At 49.1% G+C, this 24,349-nt stretch overlaps 1 protein-coding gene across 63 annotated transcripts in view, besides 4 other annotated features; it reads right to left on the minus strand.

Annotated features, from left to right (window-relative positions):
* The window catches only part of CYRIB (CYFIP related Rac1 interactor B), a 177,537-nt gene extending 172,965 nt beyond the window's left edge, over nucleotides 1–4,572 (minus strand). For 34 of the 63 annotated variants that reach the window (NM_001353293.2, NM_001353263.2, NM_001353292.2 and 31 more), the window contains exon 1: nucleotides 3,813–4,003. Coding sequence is in view for 2 of the 63 variants with exons in the window: in XM_047421855.1 (XP_047277811.1) it covers nucleotides 4,050–4,137 (88 nt within the window). In the remaining 61 variants the exon portion in view is untranslated. Of the gene's footprint in view, nucleotides 1–3,812; nucleotides 4,004–4,049; nucleotides 4,141–4,460 lie in introns of those variants that run through there. The other 29 variants (NM_001353252.1, NM_001353305.1, NM_001353274.1 and 26 more) reach the window with 2 other exon arrangements.
* Nucleotides 3,296–3,565: a silencer, noted in NCBI's record as "silent region_19542". NCBI's record gives its function as "represses an Ori minimal core promoter by ATAC-STARR-seq in GM12878 lymphoblastoid cells {active_cell/tissue: GM12878}" and the evidence as "EXISTENCE:reporter gene assay evidence [ECO:0000049][PMID:35858748]".
* Nucleotides 3,756–3,945: a silencer, noted in NCBI's record as "silent region_19543". NCBI's record gives its function as "represses an Ori minimal core promoter by ATAC-STARR-seq in GM12878 lymphoblastoid cells {active_cell/tissue: GM12878}" and the evidence as "EXISTENCE:reporter gene assay evidence [ECO:0000049][PMID:35858748]".
* Nucleotides 4,036–4,105: a silencer, noted in NCBI's record as "silent region_19544". NCBI's record gives its function as "represses an Ori minimal core promoter by ATAC-STARR-seq in GM12878 lymphoblastoid cells {active_cell/tissue: GM12878}" and the evidence as "EXISTENCE:reporter gene assay evidence [ECO:0000049][PMID:35858748]".
* Nucleotides 4,156–4,215: a silencer, noted in NCBI's record as "silent region_19545". NCBI's record gives its function as "represses an Ori minimal core promoter by ATAC-STARR-seq in GM12878 lymphoblastoid cells {active_cell/tissue: GM12878}" and the evidence as "EXISTENCE:reporter gene assay evidence [ECO:0000049][PMID:35858748]".
* Nucleotides 4,573–24,349: the final 19,777 nt, after the last annotated feature.

The raw sequence follows: 24,349 nt of genomic DNA on the forward strand, positions 1-24,349 counted from the left end.
CACTTTCCATACAACCTCTGGGTTGATCGTCACAGCAACACTTCCAGGTGGCGACTGTTAGTCCTCATTTGAAAGATGAAGAGAAAGACAAAGAGAAAGGAAGTATCTTGGCCAAGGGCACAGAGCTAGTGAGTGGCAGAGCCAGGATGTGAACCCAGGCTGTAGGGCCCCAAAACCTTCACTGCCTCTAGAAAGAGAAAAGGAGGAGAGGAAAAAAAAAATATTGCTCTCAACCTCATGCATCCTAGGCTAACAAAGTTGCCTTTCTTTCAGCCTGGTGAGGCCAATCACCCATTTTAAGACTATCAAAGACTTAATTGCCAAAGTTCTACTGAAGCAAAAGGACCTGATCCATCTGAGAGCCCAGAGAAGGATGAAAAACAAGATTACAAGGCGTCCGTCTTCAACAGGCCTTTATCAAGTATCCCCTTTAGGGAAGAGAAAAAAAATCAATCCTTCACTCCTCCCACCCGAATTTCCTTCTTTCAAGAAGCTCCAATTCAAGCTAAAACAGAGAGATGAATCTGGCCTTTGAGACGCCTATACGCTTGCTGAGCAAACAGTGATTATTACTGTTGTTGATGATGATAACAATAATCATGGATGGTGATCACTATTATACGGGGTGTGCAATGGGAACAGGGGCCTATGCTAAGGACTTTGCTTATGCTACTGCCAGGAGCAACACATCCCCGTGACACATGCGCCCATTTTACAGATGAGAACACTGAGGCTCCAAGAAGGCAACAAACTTGGTTCCATGCACACGAGCAGTGAGAAAGAAAACCAAGGCATGAATTTGGATCTTACTCTCTTACTCAGGAGCCCTGGGAGACCAACGGGGATTCTTTTGCCTGTTTAGAGATGAGGAAAAGAGGGGGCCGAGAGTGTAGTGACCTCTAGAAGGCTGCACAGCCAAGAGATAGTGAAGGTGTGTCTGATAAAATTCATACTTAAAATCTGAATTTTCAGCTATACAACACTTCCTTTACAATGCTCAGTGGTGGACGATTTTGCTGAAGACAGCCAAGTCCCAGACCGCCAAAGCCACATGAATCGTGGTCTCTTCAATTAACGAGATGGCAGTAATGCTGAGCACGGGTGAGGCCACAACCTCCTGGCACCCGCGTCCCTCGGGCGTCCTTCCTGTTCTTCGTGTGCATGGGTCTCTGGATCCTGATATAAGAGCTGTCAGGGACCAGGATTCCACATAGGGAGGAACCACGGGACAACCATTTCAAGGTCAACTGCAGGCCAGTGCGCTGACCTTGAGATGGAAAAAGAATGTACATCCTCAAAGAGCAAAGGGGAACCCATCATTCTTCTGCCCATTCTGTCAAAAGACACGTACTGTTTCCTGCATGGGCCAGGCAGCAGGTCAGGTGCCAGAGGAAGCACAAAGACCACTCAGCGTCTGCAAGAAGAAAAGTGAGCTCTGCAGGCTGAAGACTTAGGCAAGGACCCTCAATCTGCCCCTTCCTGACTGAAGGTCTTGGGCCAAGTCCTGCACTCTCTCTAAGTCTCAGGAAAACGAGAACCCTAGCTCTCCTTTACAGGTAACCCTGGCCACTCCACAGTTCAGTCATTAAAAATGAATCTGGGCCGGGCACAGTGGCTCACACCTGTAATCCCAGCACTTTGGGAGGCTAAGGCAGCGAGGATCCCTTGAGCCCAGGAGTTCGGGCAACATGGAGAGACCCCATCTCTACAAAACATTAAAAAATTAGTTGGGCATGGTGGTGCACACCCGTGGTCCCAGCTACTTGGGAGGCTGAGGTAGGAGGATGGCTTGAGCCTGAGAGGTCAAGGTTGCAGTAAGACATGATCACGCTACTTCTGCACTACTTCAACCTCAGCAATGCGTGAGACCCTGTCAAAACACAAACAAAATGAATCTGCACATGCTCAAACTGCAGCACGCTGCTGCACAGAAGGGTCTGCACTGTCTCTTAAAAATAATAGTAGCACTTACGGGGGTCGGGAGTTGGGGGACCCACATAGCTAAGGATCCTAAGAGAGGCACACAGAAGACTTTGGGAGCTGAGAAAGGAGAAGGGGTGGCTGTCAGAGACAGCAAAATTACTTGAAAATCTCCCAAAGTGAAGGGCAGAAACATATATTGGCCTTTATCTGAAAACCATTTCCAAGTCTCCCTGTGCTGGAACCCACTTCAGCCTCCTGCATCACACACTCTGCCCTTCTCCGTGCTGTGAGCCCAGCAAGGATCTAGAGTGCAAATTCCAATGTGCCTCCTCAGGAAGAAAACTCAGGCCAGCTGACCACTTCTGCATGCCGACCAAGGTAGAAAAGTCACCTCTTCCGGGCTTCCCCCACATTACAGGAACCCCAGGCCTGGGAAACCATCCCAGACGTCAGCCCTGGCTCAGTCTTGGCTGTTGGCCTCAGCCAGTCACCTGGCGGTGGCAATCAAAATGACGCCTTCTTTTTATTTTTCCCCCAGTGCAATCTTCCAAGAATGGGAGAGTCTCAAAGTCAGAGTTTAAGCCCTTTTTCACAAGGGAGTCAGTATTTTCACAAGATGGTCTTCCTCAGAGAGGGGAGGAGTCCATCCAACCCAGATAGCAAAATTGCTCCCTGGAGATCCTGGATGGATGTTACAGGGCAAGGAAGCCAAAATGTGGAAGCACACCGACTCACCTCTCAAAATTCACCACCCACTCGTTCATCTCACAATTATCTATGGGGTGCTTCCCACGTGCTTCAACGCACCCTTTCTAGGTGCTGGGGATGCAGAAATTCAAGGTGACTGGCAATGACACTTTCTATCACTGCGCCCCCTGCAGGCCAGGAAATCTACGCTCGTTTTCTCAAGGCCCCACTCGCAGCAGCCCATTTCACAGACGGGACCCTAAGACTCAGAGAGGGTAAGCGACTTGCCCAAGGTCACACAGCTAGTAAGCGGCAGGGCCAGGAATTAAACATAGCTGCAAAGTGCATGTGACACTCCCCCGCAGCCCCAGCTCTATCCCTCCGCACCCCTCCACCTCTTGCAGCAGGGTGGGTAGCAAAGGCACACTCCAAGTAGCTCCAGCATGGTAAGACCTCGATTCCTCCTTCGTTCCACTCCTGACACAGGACACACGTTTCAAAGGACACACAGGTTTTTCCCAACCCCAGTGTGTGTGTACACAGCCCCAGGAAAGCCCTGCAGGCTGCAAGGGCACCCACCCGCTAACACTGAACTTCCATTTAAAAAGAAAGATAATGAAAAGATAAAAGGCGAAGAGGAAGTGCTCTTTAAACACAGGCGGGTGGCTACCCCAGGAGGAAGTCTTGAGGCCAGTGGAGATTTTGTTCACCCCCTCTAGTTCCTCAAATCCAATGCGACTGGTCTTCCAAGCCCCTGATGGGAGGTGGCCGGGGGCCAGCGCTGCTCCCGGGGTCAGTCCCCGCACCGACACCCGGCTCGCAGGAAGGGTCTGCCAGGGACCAGCCACCCCGACCCGAGCGCCCCCTGCCTCGAGGCGCACAAGGCGCCGGCTCCGCAGCTGGGTGGACCCGGGCGGCGGCCCCGCTGCGCGCTCCCCTCGCGTCCGCCCGCCGCCCCCCGCGCACTCGAGGCGCCTCCCCCGGGACCCCCGCGCCCGCCGGCCCGGACGCCCCCACCACGGCGGCGCCCCCTGTCCACCCGCCGCAGCGCCCGGCCCGGCGGCCCGGATGGTACCTCCGCCTCTCCCCGCACCCATCACGCGCGCGCCCCGCACCCCGCGCCCTCTCCGGGGGCAAATCGGATCCAGGGGCGCGCGCGCGGGCCGGCCGGGCGGCGGCGCCTTCAGAGCCCCGGCACGTACCTGGCGGCCCGGGCGGGCGAGGGGAGCGCGGCGCGGGAGCGCAGGAGCCTCGGAGCCTCCGGTGCCGCCGCCGCCGCCGTTTCCGGGTTGGCGGGGCTCACGTCACCGCCACAGGTTTGCGAGCTGCCCCCGCCGCGGCGGCAGCAGCAGCAGCAGCAGCAGCCCGGGCGAGTGCCAGGCGAGAAATAACTATAAAAGGAAGAGGCGCGGCGAGGAGGAAGAGGAAGCGCTGTTTACCTTCGAGAAGCCGAGCCGCCGGCGCTCGCACAAAAGGAGGACGCTCGCCTCGCGACGCGCCTCCCCCCGCGCCCAGTCCCCGCCGCATCGCGGGGCCCCGGCGTCAGCGCGCGCCGCGCCCCGGGACCGCCCCGCGCCGGCCCCCACCCCAGAACCCCGCGCCCGCCTGGCCCGTGTCCTCCCGAGCCGGGGCGCCACGGGCCCGGGACGGTGGTGACCTTGGGCAAGTCACCGCGGGGCGCGCTGCGATTGGGGGTCATCGCCCTCATTGTGCGAGGAGGAAACCCGGCTCCGAGAGGCGCAAGAGTGACCCCCAAGGTCACTGCCTGTCAGGCAGGGCTTGGGCTCGAACCCCGGTCTCCAGACCTTCAGGCCGGCCAGGTTCCCATCCCTGGGTCGCTTCCCCCTCACCTGGACTTCAGGAATGGTGACAGCCCCTGCCTGGCTCACCTCGCAGCGGGGTCAGTGAGAGGAATGCTGTCCACGCACCCATTCAGCCCTCCCGCAGATACTTACTGGGCCTACTAAGTGCCCGGGCTGTTCTAGGCCCTGGAGCTGCAGCTGCGAACCAAAACAAAATCCCTGCCCGGGAGGGGCAGCGGGGACAGGCCGTAAATATCTGATGGGTCCTATGGTGCTAAGTGCTGTGCCAGAGGAAAAATAAAGCGGGGTGAGGGGACGGTGCGGGCTGTCGGTGCTACCCTAAGCGGTTCTCCAAGGACTTTAAATTTAGTACAGAAATTCCCACATAAAAAGCTCCTCGCCATAATTCCAGTTTCAGGTATTATGGGAGACCTCATCTTTCCCCTGATCTAGAATGGAAAATACTGTGTTTTTCTCCCTGTAACAGGACATGCCTAGGAAACTGATACTCTCCTTCCCTCTGCCTTGCTCCCCTGGCCCAGAAGCCCATCCTATCATTATCTTGACATTCAACCAGAAATTTCTCGGGAAGATAGACAACATTCTCTCAAGTATCTTTCTGCTGTCCTCTAGCAGGGTATCAAAAGGGTTACATCAAAGGCTTCCATTGTCTTTCCACCTCCACCTCCAGCTATAGGGGGGTTGGAGTGTGCTCACATCATACTCAGTGCTGAGTTACCTGATTAGGAGCCAGTTGTTCCATTTCTTTTCTTTTTTCTTTCTTTTTTTTTTTTTTGTCTAAGACAGGATTTTGCTCTGTTTCCCAGGCTAGGTAGCGCAGTGATGCGATAGCTCACTGCAGCCTCAAATTCCTGGGCTCAAGCGATCCTCCCACCTCAGCCTCCCGAGTTGCTGGGACCACGGGTATGCACCACCATGCTCAGCTAATTTTTATAGATTTTTGTAGAGGTGGGTCTCCCTGTGTTGCCCTGGCTGGCCTGTTTCTCCTGGGCTCAAGGGATCCTCCCTGCCTCCGCCTCCCAAAGTGTGGGGATTACAGGCATAAACCACCACACCCAGCCCGCCAATTCTTTAACAAAGGTGCCTTGCGCCTTCTCTTGGCCAGGCCCAGTTCTCGGAGCTGGGGACCCTGAGATGGTGCCATTTCAGCAGTACTCCCTGGACTGCTCTCTAAGCTTACCCGAGCGCCAGTGCCTTCATTCCTAAAGGAAGGGAACTAATGTCCACCTTGCTGTGGGGGCTGAGAAGTAGGTGGGGAAACACTGGGTCCTGAACTATGACCTTGAGGAGAAGCAGGAAAAGGGTTTGGAAGCAGGCAGAGCTGAGCCGCTTATAAAATGAGCATTAACAATTCTGAACATTTATAAAGTACTAAGCAGGTGCCAAGTGTGTGCAGGCCCATGAAGCAGGTTTATCATGGCCCAGTGTCATGCATTAAGATACTGCAGCTGGAAGAGAGATGAGATTTGCCCAAGATCACACAGATTAGACAGCGGTGGAGCTGGGTATGTACCTAGATTGTCTGACTCCAGAGCCCAAGCACTTAGCCACTCTCAGCCTCAGTTTGTTCATCTGTGAAATGGAATGGATAATAATGACTTCGTTAGGTTATGGTGAGGGTTAAATGAAATAGCGAATATATAGAACCTAATATGGATAGGACCCAGGAGAAAGCAATCACCATTGTTGTTACTATTATCATAACTGTTACAATTTACCTTTTTTTTTTTTTTTTTTTTTGAGGCAGGGTCTCACTTTGTCACCCAGGCTGGAATGCGGTGGCGCAATTTTGGCTCACTGCAATCTCTGCCTCCCGGGTTCAAGCAATTCTCATGCCTCAGCCTCCCAAGTAGCTGGGATTACAGATGTGCACCACCACGCCTGGCTCATTTTTGTATTTTTAGTAGAGGTGGAGTTTCACCATGTTGGCCAGGCTGGTCTCGAACTCCCAACCTCAGGCGGTCCGCCCACCTCAGCCTCCCAAAAACCGCACCCAGCCTAATTTTTGTATTGTTCTGTGATGACAAGATTTTGCCATGTTGCCCAGGCTGGTCTCAAACTCCTGAACTCAAGCGTTCCACCCGCCTCAGCCTCCCAAAGTGCTAGGATTACAGGCTCAAGCCACTGCGCCTGGCCTACCATAATAATTGTTAAAGGCATGAGGTAAGGAACTTTCAGGCAAGCTTGGGATCTGTAAATAGTTTGATGTGAGCGTAACATGGAATGCAAATTTGGGGGTCCAGGAAGCAGGGAAGAATAGATGAAGGTGAGGGCAGGGCTTGGATGCCTGCTAGCCTGCACTCTACTGAATTCTGAAATATGTGGGATGGAGAGTCTAACTCTGATGTGTGTGTCTCAGAGGAGAAAGTCTCCATTCACTGGATACAGTGAGGCTGAGAGCATGAGCCTAGGCTCACTCTGATCCTGATAGGTTTGACCAATTCAAGCCATTGGGAACCTGGGAATAATACCCGGGGAAACCTCTGGCAATTCTGTAGTGACTGCTCTGTTTCCCCGGGATGTCAACCCTGACAATGGTAGGCAGAAGTCCAGCATCCTATAGACAGCACTGTCTTTGGAGTTGGGAAAGCCTGCCTGCCATTTTCAGCTGTGCAATTCTGGGCAAGTCATTTAACCTCTGACTTCTTGAATGTTCTTATCTGTAAAGTGGGAATAATAACATTATCTTCTGTTGTTGAGAGGACTATGTAAGAAAATGAGTTTTTCATGCTTTATAACTGGAAAGCAGCATGCACATTTTACTTTCAACATTAGAATCTGGTGCTTTCATTGGCCAAGCAAAGAATCTTGAAAAACCAAGATTTTAAAAATTAAAAATTAAAAAAGAAGGCTGTGCTTTCATAGCACATGTGGTCCACACAGCTTTCAAGCAAAAAAAAAAAAATAGCTATTTCCTTCATATATGCAAAAGTCCCTCAAAAATATTCCTCCAAAATGCATTTCCCTGCTGAGCATTTGCAAGAGTGCTATTATGTACAAAAGGTAACAGAAGGTAAAGTTGGGAGACACAGAGACTCAGTTTTTGTCCTGCTGTTAGTATTTTGCAATTAAGCCCACTCCACATCCCATCGTGATAAAAGCAAACTCAGCGGCATTAGTCTCCTCACACCTGCTTTTCAGTCTCCTCACACCTCTGGCCATTGGGAACCGAAAGGGAAAACTACGCCCAAGCTCACTAAGGAATGCCGTCCTGGCACTGGAGCACAGCCCTCGGAAGATGCTTCAGAGGCTCAGCTAGCCCCTTTAGGCTGGGAATCCCACTCAGTGAGGTGGAATGACTTCCCGGGACACACAGAGCTAACCCTCAAGTTGGAACAGGGTCTTTACCGGGAGATGCAGAGCCTCGGGCTTCAAAGGCTGATAAGTGATTGTTTCCTGGGGCTGGGAGGAGGGGAGAATGGGGAGTAACTGCTTAATGGATATAGGGCTTCTTTTGGGGGTGACAAAAATATTTTGGAATTAAATCAAGTGTGGTAGTTGCACATTAGTGAATGTACCACATGCCACCCAATTGTTCACTTTAAAATGGTTAGCTATGTGTCATATGAATTTCACCTGAATTTTAGGGAAAGAATAACTTGACGGATAAAAAGCTAGTGAGCAGAACCTTAAGTATATTTTCAGTATTTCAGTATATCCACAATAGCATTGCAGAAATGAACCAATATGTCAGAATCATAGCAACAGAGTGCGGTAACTAAGAGCAGCCGGTTTATGTAACTAATCCTTTCACAATGGAAAGTAAAAGGATTTAGGATTGAATAATGTAGTTTGAATATTATTGTTATTATTATAACTTAATTGGTGCTTTTTGTGTTTTTTGAGGGTTTTTTGTTTGTTTGTTTGTTTTTCGGTAGAGACGGGGTTCCAATATGTTGCCCAGGCTAGTCTCGAACTCCTGACCTCAAGCAATCCTCCTGCCTCAGACTCCTAAAGTGGGATTACAGGCATGAGCCACCACAGCCCGCTCATTAATTTGTGTTTCTGAAGAAGAGTGTAACATAGTGGAAAAACCAGGCTCAATTTAGAGAGAGCTGAATTCAACTCCTGCCTTTAGTTCCTATTGGCTGCAGGGGCTTGGAAAACTACTGAGCCTCTCTACGCCTTGCGTTTCCTCATCAGGCAAAATGGGGGCGGAGATGCTGCGTCACCGTCATCTCAGGACTGTGGGGGGGACTGGGTGGGACAGCATAGGTGACATTCACCCGGAAGGTGCCTCATCGGTGACAGCTATTGTTATTGTTGTCATTGTCGCCATCGTTGTTGTTACTATACGGTGTAGAAAATCTTTCAGAACATGGACCCATGGGGAAAACCGGGTACATCTTAGTCCATTAGGGCTTCTGCGACAAAGCACCACAGACTGCATGGCTTATAAACGACAGAAGTTTCCTTCTTGCAGTTCTGGAGTCTGGAAGTCCAAGATCGGGGTGCCGGCATGGTCAGATTCTGGTGGGGGTCCTCTTCCCAGCTGCAGATTTCTGCCTCCTCGCTGCATCCTCAAGTAGTGGAAGGGCCAGAGGAGCTCTCAGGGGTCTCTTTTACAAGGACACTTGTGCACTCATGAGGCCCCCACCCCGATGACCTAATCACCTCCCAAAGGCCCCACCTCCTAATACCATCACATTGCGGGCTTAGGATTTCAACTTACAAATTGTGGGGGGACACATGCAGTTCATCTCAGGGTAATTTTAGAAATTGCTGCCTACAGCCTAGTTCCAAGTCAGGAACTGTACATGCTACAGTTACTGATGGGACACAGAACGTTTCCGAGAGGTATTTTCCCCCCGCCCATTCTGGCACAGAGCACACACGGTAGATGGTGGTGACATGGCTGAAGCAGGTGCAGCAACCTCCTCTCCCTGTCAGCTCCTCACAGCCTCTGTGGACACGAGCTGAGAAGAGGATGCCTGTCATGTTACTGGCACTTTACAAGGTGACAGCTACTATTAAGAGCAAGAAAGCAAACAGAAACACTGCCAACTACCTGGGATGGCTCAGTGGGAGAGCCTCTAGCCCTTCATACTCCACCAAGAGCCTTAAATCCTCAAGAAAAGCTGCGAAACATGATTTGTCTTGGAGACACTGCTGTTAAGTGCTTAACTTTTTGTGGGGGGACAGTCTGACTCTGTCACCCAGGCTGGGTGCAGTGGCAAAATAAATGGGTCACTGTAACCTCTGCCTCTTGGACTCAAGCCATCTTCCCACCTCAATCTCCCAAGTAGCTGGGGTTACAGGCACACCCCACCCCACCACACCCGGCTAATTTTTGTATTTTTGTAGAGACAGGGTTTCATCATGTTGCCCATGCTGGTCTCAAACTCATGAGCTCAAGCAATCCACCTGCCTCAGCCTCCCAGAGTGCTGGGATTACAGGCGTGAGCCACCACACCCAGCCTGTTGAATAGTTACTTACAGAGAGAAGAATTGCATAACTAGGTTAACTTTCATTGTCCAGATAAACTCACTTTTGGAGGTGGGGGGTACCTTATTCCCCATCGAGGTGTTGCTGGCATCCTGTGTCAGTGATGCTGAATGAGACATCAAATGGCCCTATGTGATAAGAGATAGGAGTTGTCTCCCTCTGATCACAGTGAAATAAAACCACCCCCTCCCTACACTTAATATGAATAATTTCTCTAAGCATAAAACAACTGTCTATCCTGGTCCACAAGCATAGGCGTGTGCACACACACATGCACGCATGCCCACGTGCATACTCACAGGAAGAGGACAATGTTTATGTGAGTTATTTTTTCTAATTCTGAAAGTAACCCATGTTAATCATAGAAAAATCAAGAGAGGGGGCTGGGCGTGGTGGCTCACGCCTGTAATCTCAGCACTTTGGGAGGATGAGTTGGGCAGATTGCTTGAGCTCGGAGTTTGAGACCAAACTGGGCAACATAGTGAAACTCCATCTCTACAAAAATACAACAAAAAATTAGTCGGGCATGGTGGCAGGCACCTCAGAATCGCCTGCACCTGGGAAGCAGAGGCTGCACTGAGCCAAGATCACACCACTGCACTCCAGCCTGGACGACAGAACAAGACACTGTCTCAAAAAAACAAAAAACAAAAAAAAACAGAAAGAAAGAAAGAAAGGAAGAAAAGGAAGGAAGGGAAGGAAGGAAGGAAGAAAGAAAAGAAAGAAAACAGAGGGAGAAAGCAAAACTCACCCATAATGCTCCAGGGCCAGGCATTCTTTCTTGACATTTAACTTATTATCTCCTGGTATTTGGGGAATGCATTTTAACACAGTTGCCGTCACACTGTGTACATATGTCGAATCCCACGGTTTGATTCACATATAGGTGAGGATGTTAATCTGACATGGTTTTTGTTTGTTTGTTTTTGAGATGGAGTCTCACTCTGTCACCCAAGCTAGAGTGCAGTGGTACGATCTCGGCCTACTGCAACCTCCGCCTCCCAGGTTCAAGCAATTCCCCTGCCTCAGCCTCCAGAGTAGCTGGGACTACAGGCGCCCCGCCACCATGCCCGGCTAATTTTTTGTATTTTTAGTAGAGATGGGGTTTCACCATGCTGGCCAGGCTGGTCTCAAACTCCTGACCTTGTGATCCACCCGCCTCGTCCTCCCAAAGTACTGGGATTACAGGCGTGAGCCACCGTGCCCGGCCTTATGTTTTTTAAATAGTACACTGCAAGGCCACTGGCAGCCCAAAACCCAGGCAGGGAAGAAGAGTGTGAGAGAGAAATTGCTGTTTTCCTCTTCAGGGTAATTTCCTCCAGGGCTGACACTATCTTATTCAGACCTTAGTCCTGTACCAGAAACAGAGATGCTAAGTCAAAGTTTCATACATTCATGAATAGGTGGATGAATGGGGAAAGGATACAATGTCAATGATAAAAGGGCCACCAACCTTGCCCGACAGGTCCAGCCACAGGTCTCCTCTGCAGGCTCTCACCCTTCATGCAGAGAAATCTGCCTGGTTGAGGGTTTAATTTTGCAATCACCTCGTTCTAGAGCCCAGTCAGAAGGTGCCAAAGTCAGTGCTTCTCAAACTCCGATGCATAAGAATCACCCAGGGGCCAGGCATGGTGGTTCATGCCTGTAATGCCAGCACTTTGGGAGGCCGAGGTGGGTGGATCACCTGAGGCCAGGAGTTCGAGACCAGCCTGGCCAACATAGTGAAACCCTGTTTCTACCAAGAATACAAAAATTAGCCGGGCGTGGTGGCACCTGCCTGTAATCCCAGCTACTTGGGAGGCTGAGGCAAGAGAATCACTTGAACCTGGGCAGTGGAGGTTGCAGTGAGACACGATTGTGCCACTGCACTCCAACCTGGGCAGCAGAGTGAGACTCCATCTCAAAACAAAACAAAAAAACACCCAGGGAGCGATCATAGAATCTCCAGGAAAAAGTGGAGACTCTATGGCACAGTTTGGTTACTAGCTCTGGCGTGGGGCTCGGAGAGCTGCCTTTCCTATGGATTCTCCACTGCCCCCCACCACCACCCCGCCCCCCAACCCCAGCCCCCCACCCCCCAACCCCCACCCCCGCCACCCCGCCCCGCCCCCAAGCTGATGGTGGTTTCTGCTTTGAGAAATTCTGGCCTGGAGACTGTCTATGATCCGAGTAAAGCTGGAACTTGTCATTGTTGTTTACTGAGCCATCAGCAAGGATTTGGTAAGCCTGCAACCTGCCTCAGTTGGGCTGATAAAAATAGTGTGTGCAATTGACTTGCCACGAGTTCCCCATCTCACTGGGGAGAGAAATGCTTGTGGAAAATAAGAGTGAGGAGCTAAGTTTTGCAGCAACCTCAGGAGCGCTCCTGCAATCTCCTGCAACCCTCAGGAGAGCTTAAGAACAGGAAGCTGCCCACAGACCTATTGCATCCCAAGGAGGGTGGGGGAGAACCAATATTGTGGTTTTTGTTTTTTTGTTTGTTTGTTTTTTGAGACAGAGTCTGGCCCTGTCACCCAGGCTGGAGTGCAGTGGCACCATCTCGGCTCACTGCAATCTCCACCTCCTGGGTTCAAGTGATTCTCCTGCTTCAGCCTCCTGAGTAGCTGGGATTACAAGCGTGAGTGTGGCCTGGCTAATTTTTGTATATTTAGTAGAGACTGTTTCGGCATGTTGGCCAGGCTGGTTTTGAACTCCTGACCTCAGGTGATCCACCAGCCTCAGCCTCCCAAAGTGCTGGGATTACAGGCATGAGCCACCACACCTGAGAACCAATATTTAGCAAGCACCTACCATAGGGACAGAAACTGGCTACTAAAGAGAAAAAGTGCCCATAAGTGGTTTTCTTTTTGCCAGCACAGTGCTGGGAAGTTTGGAACATCTGAATACATTAGGGCACATATTCTTCAATTGTATGAGGCTCCCAGACTCCCTATGTTATTACATGAAACCCCCATCTGCTTGGGCTTCCTGTTGGTACCTCAAGCACTGACATTCAACTTCAAGTTGAACATGTTCAAAGCCAAATGGAAGAGTCAGAATTGGAACCCTGGTCTGTCTGATGCTAAAGCCCTGTTTCTTGCAACTTTGCCATGTTGCTTCTTGAAGAGAAGGGATGAAGGTATAAATAATGTTTTGTTAGATGGGGAAGATTCCAGGCTGGGTAAAGTTGAAATAACCCCAAACTCAGTGCCATTTATTATGGTTGTGTCTATGCCAGGTACTGAGTGCCTACCAGGGATCATTTGTTTTTTTGTGTGTTTTCTTTGAGATGAAGTCTTGCTCTGTCACCCAGGCTGGAGTGTAGTGGCATGACCTCAGCTCACTGCAACCTCCACCTCCCGGGTTCAAGAAATGCTCCTGCCTCAGCCTCCCAAGTAGCTGGGATTACAGGCACCTGCCACCAAGCCCAGCTAATTTTTGTATTTTTAGTAGAGACGGGGTTTCACCATGCTGGCCAGGCTGCTCTCGAACACCTGACCTTAGGTGATCTGCCCACTTTGGCCTCCAAAAGTGCTGGGATTACAGGCATGAGCCACCGCACCTGACCACCAGGGATCATTTGTAATTCAGGCAAGGAGATTTCATGAGTGAAGCAACAGATCAGGAAGGTTAAGTCCTCTGCTCAAGGTCACACAGCTAGTAAGGGGCAGAACTGGGCAGAACCCCCAAAATGTTAACTGTCCTAACTGCTTTGATTATTGAATTTAATCCTGTGGTGGGGCTCAGGACACACCACCCCAAAATATGACTGTAGGAGACCAGAATATGCCAACCCAAAATATACTTCTTTGGCGTATTTTGAGCTGGTTATTCTGAGAAACTGCAGACATAGGAGTAGCTCTGAAAAGCTGTCCTTTTGTAAAACAAATTTACATCTATGAAGGAAATCTACATTAGTCAAACTATCTGTATCAGGAAGCGGGCTGCTCCAGACAGCTTCTATTACCTGAGAGAATATTTTTAGAGATGAAATTGCGCTATGTTGCCCAAGCTGGAGTGCAGCGGCTACTCACAGGCACGATCATCATTCACTACTGTCTCAAACTTCTGGGCTCAGGAAGTCATCCCACTTTGGCCGCCCGAGTGGCTGGGACTACAGGCACATGCCACTGAGCCTGGCTACAGAGGCTGTTTATCTGTGTAACAAGACAACCTTATTCACCATACATTTCTTCCCATCACCCTCCCATAACTTGTGTCAAAGCCCCCTTGAGAAACCTCAAGCCCTATTCCTTTCTGCAGCTCAGGATGCTATATAAGCTTCAATCATCGACCCTTCTTCGAGACTCACGTTTTGTGGGACTCCTGTGTGAATGCATGTTAATTCAAATGATTTTTCTCCTGTTAGTCTGTCTTATGTCAATTTAGTTTGTAGCCCAGCCAAAGAACCTAGAAGGGTGGAAGGAAGCCATTTCGCTATCCCCTATGCCTGATACAAGAGAATTAAAATCATATGTATCGAGCCGGGTGCAGGGGCTCATGCCTGAAGTCCCAGTATTTTGGGAGGCAGGGACCTGTGGATCACCTGAGGTTGGGCGTTTGAGACCAGCTTGGCCAACATGGCGAAACCTTGTCTCTCCTAAAAATACAAAAATAGCCTGGACCAGTGCATGCCTGTAGTCCCAACTACTTGGGAGGCTGAGGCAGGAAAATCACTTGAACCCAGGAGGCAGAGGGTGGAGGTTGCAGTGGGCGGAGATTGCACCACTGCACTCCAACCTGGGTGACAGAGCGAGATTCCATCTCAAAAAAAAAAAAAAAAAAAAATCATATGCATTGAATAGCAAAGGCATTTGGTCCTATTCTCACAGCTAGAGAATGGTTCCTTTGATATAGCTTTCGTTATACATATTGTTGTTAATGTCTGTGGACAATTAATCACATTTTGCAGTTTCCCCACATTCAACAAACAGCTTTGCTAGAAAGGTTTCAAAGGTTCATTCCAGGCTGGTCATGGTGGCTCATACCTATAATCCAACATTTTGGGAGGCCAAGGCAGGAAGATTGCTTGAACCCAGGAGTTCAAGACCAGCCTGGGCAACATCTCTACAAAACCCCATCTCTACAAAAATAAAAAATTAGCCGAGTGTAGTGGCTCATGCCTGTGGCCCTAGCTACTCAGGAAGCTGAGGTTGAAGGATTGCTTGAGCCCCGTAGGTGTAGGCTGCAGTGAACTATAATTGTACATCTGCACTCCAGCCTGGGTGACAGAGTGAGACCCTGTCTCAAAAAAAAAAAAAAAAAAAAAAAAAAAAGGGGCCAGGCATGGTGGCTCACGCCTGTAATCCCAGCACTTTGGGAGGCTGAGGTGGGTGGATCACGAGGTCAGGAGATCAAGACCATCCTGGCTAACACGGTGAAACCCTGTCTCTACTAAAAAAAATACAAAAAATTAGCTGGGCATGGTGGTGGGTGCCTGTAGTCCCAGCTACTCAGGAGGCTGAGGCAGGAGAATGGCGTGAACCCAGGAGGCAGAGCTTGCAGTGAGCCGAGCCGAGATCATGCCACTGCACTCCAGCCTGGGCGACAGAGCGAGACTCTGTCTCAAAAAAAAAAAAAAAAATGGTTTCATTCCAGCTTCAGCCCCAGCTCCAGCATTCTGTGAGTTTGCCAGGGCAGCAAAACTCAACCACTATCAAGGCCAGGCAAGAAACATAAATGAGTGAGGTGCACCCAACTGCACGATAGGGAGCAGTGGGGACTGGGGCAAAAAGGTGTGACCTGTCTTTAGGCATATTCACATTCAAACCTTTACAAAACCCTGTGCTCATCACAGCAGGTTCCTGTCTGCAGGTTGCAAGCTTGCAACACTGAGAGCAGTGTCCTCAAAGCACAGTCCTTGGACCAGCAGCATCAACAGCATCTGGGAACTGCTTAGAAAAGCAAAACCTACAGACTCGGCAGACCCGGGGCTGGGACCCAGCAATCTGGGGTTTCACAAGCCTTCCAGGTGGTTCTAATGCAGCTGAAGTTCCAGCAACACCTGGGGAACTTCTACCACCTCCAATACAAGCTCAGGCTTCAGAAAGTCTTGAAGTTCTTCAAGTGCCTTTGTTGTTGTTGTCGTTGTCGTTGTGATGAAGTCTCGCTCTGTCGCCCAGGCTGGAGTGCAGTGGTGTGATCTCAGCTCACTGTAACCTCTGCCTCCCGTGTTCAAGCCATTCTCCTGCCTCAGCCTCCTGAGTAGCTGGGATTACAGGCACCCGCCACCACACCTGGCTAATTTTTGTATTTTTAGCAGAGATGGGGTTTCACCGTGTTAGCCAGGCTGGTCTCGAACTCCTGATCTCAGGTGATCCGCCCACTTCGGCCTCCCAAAGTGCTGGGATTACAGGCACGAGCCACCGCACTCAGCCCATTTGCTCTTTTCTTCCATGTGGAAGAAGGTTCCCCAGCTCCCCAAGGATGTTCCCTGGCCACGCCACATCAAGACTGCCTGGTCTCCAGTCCTCCCTGAAATCCTAAATACCTGTTGAGTGGGTTTCATGTGTCCCTGCTTTGCTGCCTGCTTGATTTTCCACGGGACTGTGTTTCATAAGATTAGCACTTCCTACTCCTCAAAGGATTTCCACAGCCATTGTCTTCAGCGCTTTTGCCTAACAATCCCGTGATAGAGAGAAAGCAGCGCCATTCCCTTCCATTTGCACACAAGGAAATTGAATCACAGAAAGGTTGAGTGCCTTCCAGAAGGCCACAGAGCAAGTTAGAGACAGATTTAGGACTAAAGCCCTCCAGTGCAGACCCTCAATCCTACGTTCTTTCTAACATGTGTATTATGAAATTAATTACATTTAATGCTTCTATCAACACTTTTGAGTTTTATTGCTATTCTCATTTTACAGATGAGAAAACTAAGTTTTCCCAGAACATGATCCCAGAGCCACTTACATCAGAACCCCCTGGAGTACCTGTTTAAAATACAGATTTCCAGCCAGGCATGGTGGCTCATGCCTGAAATTCCAGCACTTCGGGGAGGCCTAGGCGGGCAGATCACTTGAGGTCAGAAAGACTTCCAGACCAGCCTGGCCAACATGGTGAAACCCGTCTCTACTAAAAATACAAAAATTAGCCAGGCATGATGGCATGCACCTGTAATCCCAGCTACTCAGGAGGCTGACGCACGAGAATTGCTTGAACCTGGGAGGAGGAGGTTGCAGTGAGCTGAGATTGAGCTACTGCATTCCAGCCTGGGTGACAGAGCAAGACTCTGTCTCAAAAAAAAAAAAAAAAAAAAGAAAAGAAAAAAGAAAAAAAAGTCACATTTAAGCAAGATTCACTGAGTGCCCAGCACCTGGCTGAGTGCTTCACATACACGACATCATTTAACAGTAGGCACTGCTATTATTCCCATCTAACAAATGAAGACACTGAAACCCAGAGGGCCTAATGATTTTTCCAAGGGTCACAGCAGGCAAACAGATGCCTGAACGTGTGCTCTTCGCCACAATTTAATGCTGCCTTCCCCTACAAGTCTTTTTTTTCTTTTTATTTACATATTTATATATTTTGAAAACTGATTTGGGGGTCTTGATGCATTGCCCAGGCTGGTCTTGAACTCCTGAGCTCAAGCGATCCTCCTGCTTTAGCCTCCCAAAATGCTGAGATTACAGGCATAACCCACCATGCCCAGCCATAAAAGTCACTTTTATCTGCCACTTTAGCATATTTTTTTTTCTAAAAGTCATTTTTTAAAATGTTATTTTTGTATACTTGGCATAGTGCCTGGGACTCAGTAGGTGCTAAGTAAATGAGCCAAATGAATGAATGAATGAACAGAAGTGAATTTTGTAGGACCACTGATGTAAAAAGTTCCAGCATAATCCCTCAAGCTGTATTTAAAAAATGGGGGAGCTAGGCGTGGTGGTTCACACCTGTAGTGCCAGTTTCTTGGGAGACCGAGGCAGGAGGATTGGTCGAGCCCGGAGCTCAAGAACAGCCTGGCCAACAGAGCAAGACTCTGTCTCTAAATTTAAAAGGGCAGGTGAGGGAAGAATTCTTAAAATAAGTTTCTGTGGTCACTTGCTGCTTTTCTCTTGAAGTCTGTTGAGCCTGAAAACACATACACACACACACAAAGTTAGTCAAAGGCTCTAATTGGAAACACTGCGGCTATGTAGAATCTCACTTGATTTGCTTTAATTGTTAAAGGTTTTGGAGGCAGGAACTGCCACTTCATTCTCCAAATTCTCCATGTCTCAGTTGACTCATCAGTAAAATGAGGCTGATCATAGTCTCACAACAGGGGGTTGCCGTGAAGATTCAGTGAGATAACACAGCCCAGGTGCTTAATGCAGCACACGGCACAAGAGAAGCTGCCAATGATGTTAGTGACTGTTATTCTTCTTTTATTGTCACTATTTGTAGGGAAAGGCACAGATATAAGAATTATTCTGGCCGGGTGCAGTGGCTTACACCTGTAATCCCAGCACTTTGGGAGGCTGAGGTGGGCAGATCACTTGAGGTCAGGAGTTTGAGACCAGCCTGGCCAACGTGGTGAAACCCCGTCTCTACTAAAAGTACAAAAATTAGCCGGACGTGATGGCAGGTGCCTGTAATCCCAGCTACTCGGGAGGCTGAGGCAGGAGAATCACTTGAATCCGGGAGGTGGAGGTTGCAGTGAGCCGAGATGGTGCCACTGCACTCCAGCCTGGGCAACAGAGCAAGACTCTTAAAAAAAACAAAAACAAAAATTATTCTTGTGTCATACTCATGCGAAAGGCAAAGCCCCTGTAGTTTAGGTTGTAAATACAAATAAAGACTGAGAGGTAGCAATGGCACCTACATATTATCCCTAAAAGACTAATTCCACATATATGTACAATTTGCATTTGTCTTTGAAACACATTATGATTTTTCCAAAATATTGCAATTGTGTTTCATTTCCATTTACAATTACAGGTTGCTTAAGCTACTGTCAAAGTATTCCTTGAGCACTAGCTTTGTTTGGTTGATTAGAAGCAGGGGGCCTGTAAAAATGGCTAATGAAAAGACCTTACAATGATATGGGGCTCTAGAGTTTACATAGGGATTTTACACACATTCTCTTTTTTTTCTTTTTTGAGATGGAGTCTCGCTCTGTCACCCAGGCTGGAGTGCAGTGGTGCAATCTCAACTCACTGCAACTTCCGCCTCCCGGGTTCACGCCATTCTCCTGCCTCAGCCTCCTGAGTAGCTGGGACTACAGGCACCCGCCACCACACCCGGCTAATTTTTTGTATTTTAGTAGAGACAAGGCTTCACCATGTTGGCCAGGATGGTCTTGAACTTCTGACCTCATGATCCGCCCACCTCAGCCTCCCAAAGTGCTAGGATTACAGGCATGAGCCACCGCGCCTGGCCCACACATTCTTGTTAATCCTCAACCACCTCATGTCCCCTGTGGTGAGGCTGGTACTATCACTGCCACCTGACAAAGTTGAAGTGATGTGCCCAAGGTCATCTAGTCATCTATTTATTATTATGTATGTGTATATATACACATTTTTTTTTTTTTGAGACGGAGTCTTGCTCTGCCACCCAGGCAGGAGTGCAGTGGTGAGATCTCAGCTCACTGCAAGCTCCGCCTCCCGGGTTCATGCCATTCTCCTGCCTCAGCCTCTCTAGTAGCTGGGACCACAGGCGCCCGCCACCACACCCGGCTATTTTTTTGTATTTTTAGTAGAGACGGGGTTTCACCATGCTATCCAGGATGGTCTCGATCTCCTGACCTCGTGATCTGCCCGCCTCGGCCTCCCAAAGTATTATGTGTATTTTTTAATATTTTTCTGAGATAGTGTCTCATTCTGTCGCCCAGGCTGGAGTGCAGTGGCAGGATTTCGGCTCACAGCAACCTCCCCTTTTTGGGTTCAAGCGATTCTTCTGCCTCAGCTTCCCGAGTAGCTGGGATTACAGGTACCCGCCACCACACCCAGCTAATTTTTGTATTTTTAGTAGAGACAGGGTTTTACCATGTTAGCCAGGCTGGTCTCAAACTCCTGACCTCAAGTGACCCGCCCACTCTCAGCCTCCCACAGTGCTGGGATTATAGGTGTGAGCCACAGCACCTGGCCTATCATCTATTTAGTAGCGGAAGCTGGGCTTGAACCCTGTTTCCAAACTCTAAGCCCCACAGCAAGAACTGACTCTAGGATTCCAATTCACTCTTGGATACTTAGTAACCAAGTCACTGGTGTGAAAGTTGGCAGAATCAAAATGGAGTCACTAAGGTTAAGAAAACTCTGGCCAGGCATGGTGGCTCATGCCTGTAATCCCAACACTTTGGGAAGCCAGGTGGGAGGATTGCTTGAGCCCAGGAGTTTGAGACCAGTCTGGGCAACACAGCGAAACATGGTCTCTACAAAAAATACAAAAAATTAGCCAGGCATGGGGGTGTGCGCCTGTACTCCCAGCTGCTTGGAAGGCTGAGGTGGGAGGATCATCTGAGCCTGGGATGTTGAGGCTGCAGAGAGCTATGATTGCATCACTGCACTCCAGCCTGTGTGACAGAGCAAGATCTTATCTCAAAAAGAAAAAAAAATTAAGAAAACTCTGACAGAGGAGGAGAAGGCCATGAAGATCAGGTTCTCAGGCTTGTATGCCTGATAATGAAACAGACTCGGCTGGGCGCCTTGGCTCATACCTGTAATCCCAGCACTTTGGGAGGCCGAGGCGGGCGGATCACCTGAGATCGGGAGTTCAAGACCAGCCTGACCAACATGGAGAAACCCCGTCTCTACTAAAAATACAAAATTAGCTGGGCGTGGTGGCGCATGCCTGTAATCCCAGCTACTTGGGAGGCTGAGGCAGGAGAACCGCTTGAACCCGGGAGGTGGATGTTGTGGTGAGCTGAGATCGCGCCATTCCAGCCTGGGCAACAAGAGCGAAACTCCGTCTCAAAAAAAAAAAGACTCTGCTAAAACCACAGCTTGGCACGAAGCCCATCACAGCCTTACACAAACAATTTTTCTGCAAGGACATCTGCCCAGCAACTGCCTGTCCAATCTCAGACTGGCGTCACCCTTGTTATTGATCTTTGTAGCCAAGGATGATCATCTTAAAGCAATCATATAAACCTCTTCATTTTTCATTTAAAAACCTTTGTCTTCCTTTACCTCCCTGAACAGGCACGTAGTTTACAATGGCCCATGTATTCCCACTGCAATGGTCCATTCCCAAATAAACATCTTCTCTTTTGCGGAGCCTCTCTGTTTGCTATTTAGGTTGATGCTGGGTGACCACATGAATGTGATAGTGGGGATTGCCAGGAGGAAGAGACTGTCTCCCCAGTAAAAACACATTTGGGGAGACTTCAATTCAAGATGTGGTAACAAGGACTGAATTTATCCTCCAGCCTCAAAAACTGGGAAAAAAATGAAACCACTGTTTGCAAACACGGGACAGCAGACAGCAAGGGTGGTGATACCTGAGAGAGAATAAAGGCTACTACCCAGCCTCTGCTCCTTATCTGGAAATCCCTTCCTTCAAAGCCGCCTTAATGCCACCAGTGCCACGAATGGCCCCCAATTCCCTGCTGGAAGGAGTCTCTGTTCTGCCGTGAATGTCTCCAGTGAAGCCTGTCTTTCAACTTGTGCCATCGTATGAGGCCCAGCATGGCTGTTGGTGCCTGACGGCCAGGCCTCTGGAGCACAGGAGGGCGCCTCCCATCACCGCACATCAGAGAACCGACACTTCACAGATCAGTGCTCATAAAACGTTTCTGGAAAGAAGGAGCAATGATACTTCCCATGAAGTTTATCATGAAAAGGAAAAACAGGCCGGGTGTGGTGGCTCAGGCTTGTAATCCCAGCACTTTGGGAGGCCGAGTCAGGTGGATCACCTGAGGTTAGGAGTTCAAGACCAACCTGGCCAACATGGCAAAACCCCACCTCTACTAAAAATACAAAAATTAGCCAGGTGTGGTGGTGCGCACTTGTAATCCCAGCTACTCAGGATGCTGAGGCACCAGAATCGCTTGAAGTCAGGAGGTGGAGGTTGCAGTGAGGCAAGATCGCGCCACTGCACTTCAGCCTGGGCGACAGAGTGAGGCTCTGTCTCAAAAAAAAAAAAAAAAAAATGAAAAAGAAAAACAGTTACAATAAAAAAGAAAGAGATAAATCATACAGTCTTCACAGTCCCCCTTGATATAGATATATATATTTTTAATATATATATATATTTTTTTAGACGGAGTCTCGCTCTGTCACCCAGGCTGGAGTGCAGTGGCGCGATCTCGGCTCACTGCAAGCTCTGTCTCCCAGGTTCACCCCATTCTCCTGCCTCAGCCTCCTGAGTAGCTGGGACTAAAGGCGCCTGCCACCATGCCCAGCTAATTTTTTTGTAATTTTAGTAGAGACAGGGTTTCACCATGTTAGCTAGGATGGTCTCAGTCTCCTGGCCTCATGATCCACCCGCCCTGGCCTCCCAAAGTGCTGGGATTACAGACGTGAGCCACCGCGCCCGGCCCTCACCTTGATATTTTTGTTTTGCAGCTTAAATAAGTGGATCTCTGGATAAGCGGCCTGACTGATGAGAGAAAGAGCTGGCTTTTCTTCCGACAATAGTTGTTGTGACCTCTTTGCGGCAAGAACAGTGATAGAACAGACATTATCATCAGGAGAATCAGCTCGTAAAAGCCACATTCTTGGCACATCAAAGGTATTTGAGAGGGACAGAAAGAGTAAAGCGATTCTTTCCAACTAACAGTTGGGAAAGATGGCACTGTTTTAACTTGAATACCCCTCTTTTTTAAGAAAAAGAGGATCATAAGGCTAAAACAGATTTTTTTAATTGAGAAAGTTTATTTTAAACATTTTTGAGAAAAAAATAAGAAGCCTCTAAATTACTTTGGCACTACCAAGTGACACCAGTCACTATCGAGTTTTCTTGTTTGATTTCTCCGTGACACTTATTATCGGCTATTCTCTTCATTTTACTTGTGTATATTTTGTTTTCTCCCTTTGAACGTGAGTGCCAGGAAAACCTGGACTTTGAATTCTCTGTGTGATCCCAAGTACCAGAACAGCCGCCCAGCAGGGGCTCTGGAAATGTGCCCTGAAAGAACTCAGACAACAGGAGACCCTCCTCAGCTCCAGGGCTGCTGCCATTTGCACACAGAAGGGAGCAGCCTGTGTTTCAAAGGTGAGATCCAGATACTTTTTAAAATTATTATTATTTTTCTTTTTTCTTTAAAATTTTTTTTTTGTATAGACAGGGGTCTTGCCATATTGCCCAGGCTGATCTCTAACTCCTGGGCTCAACTGATCCTCCTGCCTTGGCCTCCCAAAATGCTGGGATTATAGATGTGAGCCACTGCACCTCACCCAGATACTTTCTTACCAGTCTCTGGCTGAAATTTCACAAGAAGTGGGGACACCAAAGACAAAAATGAACAAATGAACCGAGGTAAGGTTGGGCCTGGTCTGGAGGACAGAAAGGAGGCCATCAGGCCGATAGCTTATGTCCAGGGAAACAAAACCATTTTGGATTTTCATTTCTTTATTATTATTTTTTGAGACGGAGTCTCGCTCTGTCACCCAGGCTGGAGTGCAGTGGCATGATCTCGGCTCACTGCAACCTTTGCCTCCCAGGTTCAAGTGATTCTCCTGCCTCAGTCTCTTCAGTAGCTGGGATTACAGGTGCCCACCACCACGCCAGGCTAATTTTTGTATTTTTAGTAGAGACGGGGTTTCGCCATGTTGACCAGGTTGGTCTCAAACTTCTGGCCTCAGGCGATCCACCTGCCTCGGCCTCCCAAAGTGCTGGGATTACAGGCGTGAGCCACCGCGCCCGGCCTGGTTTTTCTTTAAAGTGCTGAACGTTTGGTCACAATGATGTAGAGAACAGGGTCAGTTCAGACAGCCCCTCCCTCCTGGAAGGCTCCCTCCTCCCTGGCGCCTCCTGTCCATAGATGGCCAACTCCAGTCTACCTTCCCCACATACTCTCTCCAGATCTTAACATTTAGCCATGTTCGCATCAGATCTTTTTTTTCTTTATTTGGTGAGGGAAACCCTGTGTCCCCTGGTACCCACGGCTCTCCCTCCCTCCTCTGAGATAACCAGTCTCCTGAGTTTGGGGTTAATTATCCCAATGTTTCCATAAACGGTATGTAAAAATTTGCAGATCTTGGCTGTTCGCGGTGGCTCTCACCTGTCATCTCAGCACTTTGGGAGGCTGAGGCGGGCAGATCACCTGAGGTCAGGAGTTCGAGACTAGCCTGACCAACATTTTGAAACCCTGTCTCTACTAAATACAAAAAAATTAGCCGGGCATGGTGGTGCATGCCTGTAGTCCCAGCTACCTGGGGAGGCTGAGGCAGGAGAATCACTTGAACCTGGGAGGTGGAGGTTGCAGTGAGCTGAGATTGTGCCATTGCACTCTAGCCTGGGCAACAAGAGTGAAACTCTTAAAAAAAAAATTTTGCAGATCTTAAAAAGTCAGAGAAATGGTTTCATTTGGTATGAATCCTTCTGTAACTTTCTTTTTCACTCAGCA

The sequence above is a fragment of the Homo sapiens genome, chromosome 8, assembly GCF_000001405.40.
Source record: "Homo sapiens chromosome 8, GRCh38.p14 Primary Assembly".
In the NCBI taxonomy this organism is placed as follows: Eukaryota; Metazoa; Chordata; class Mammalia; order Primates; family Hominidae; genus Homo; species Homo sapiens.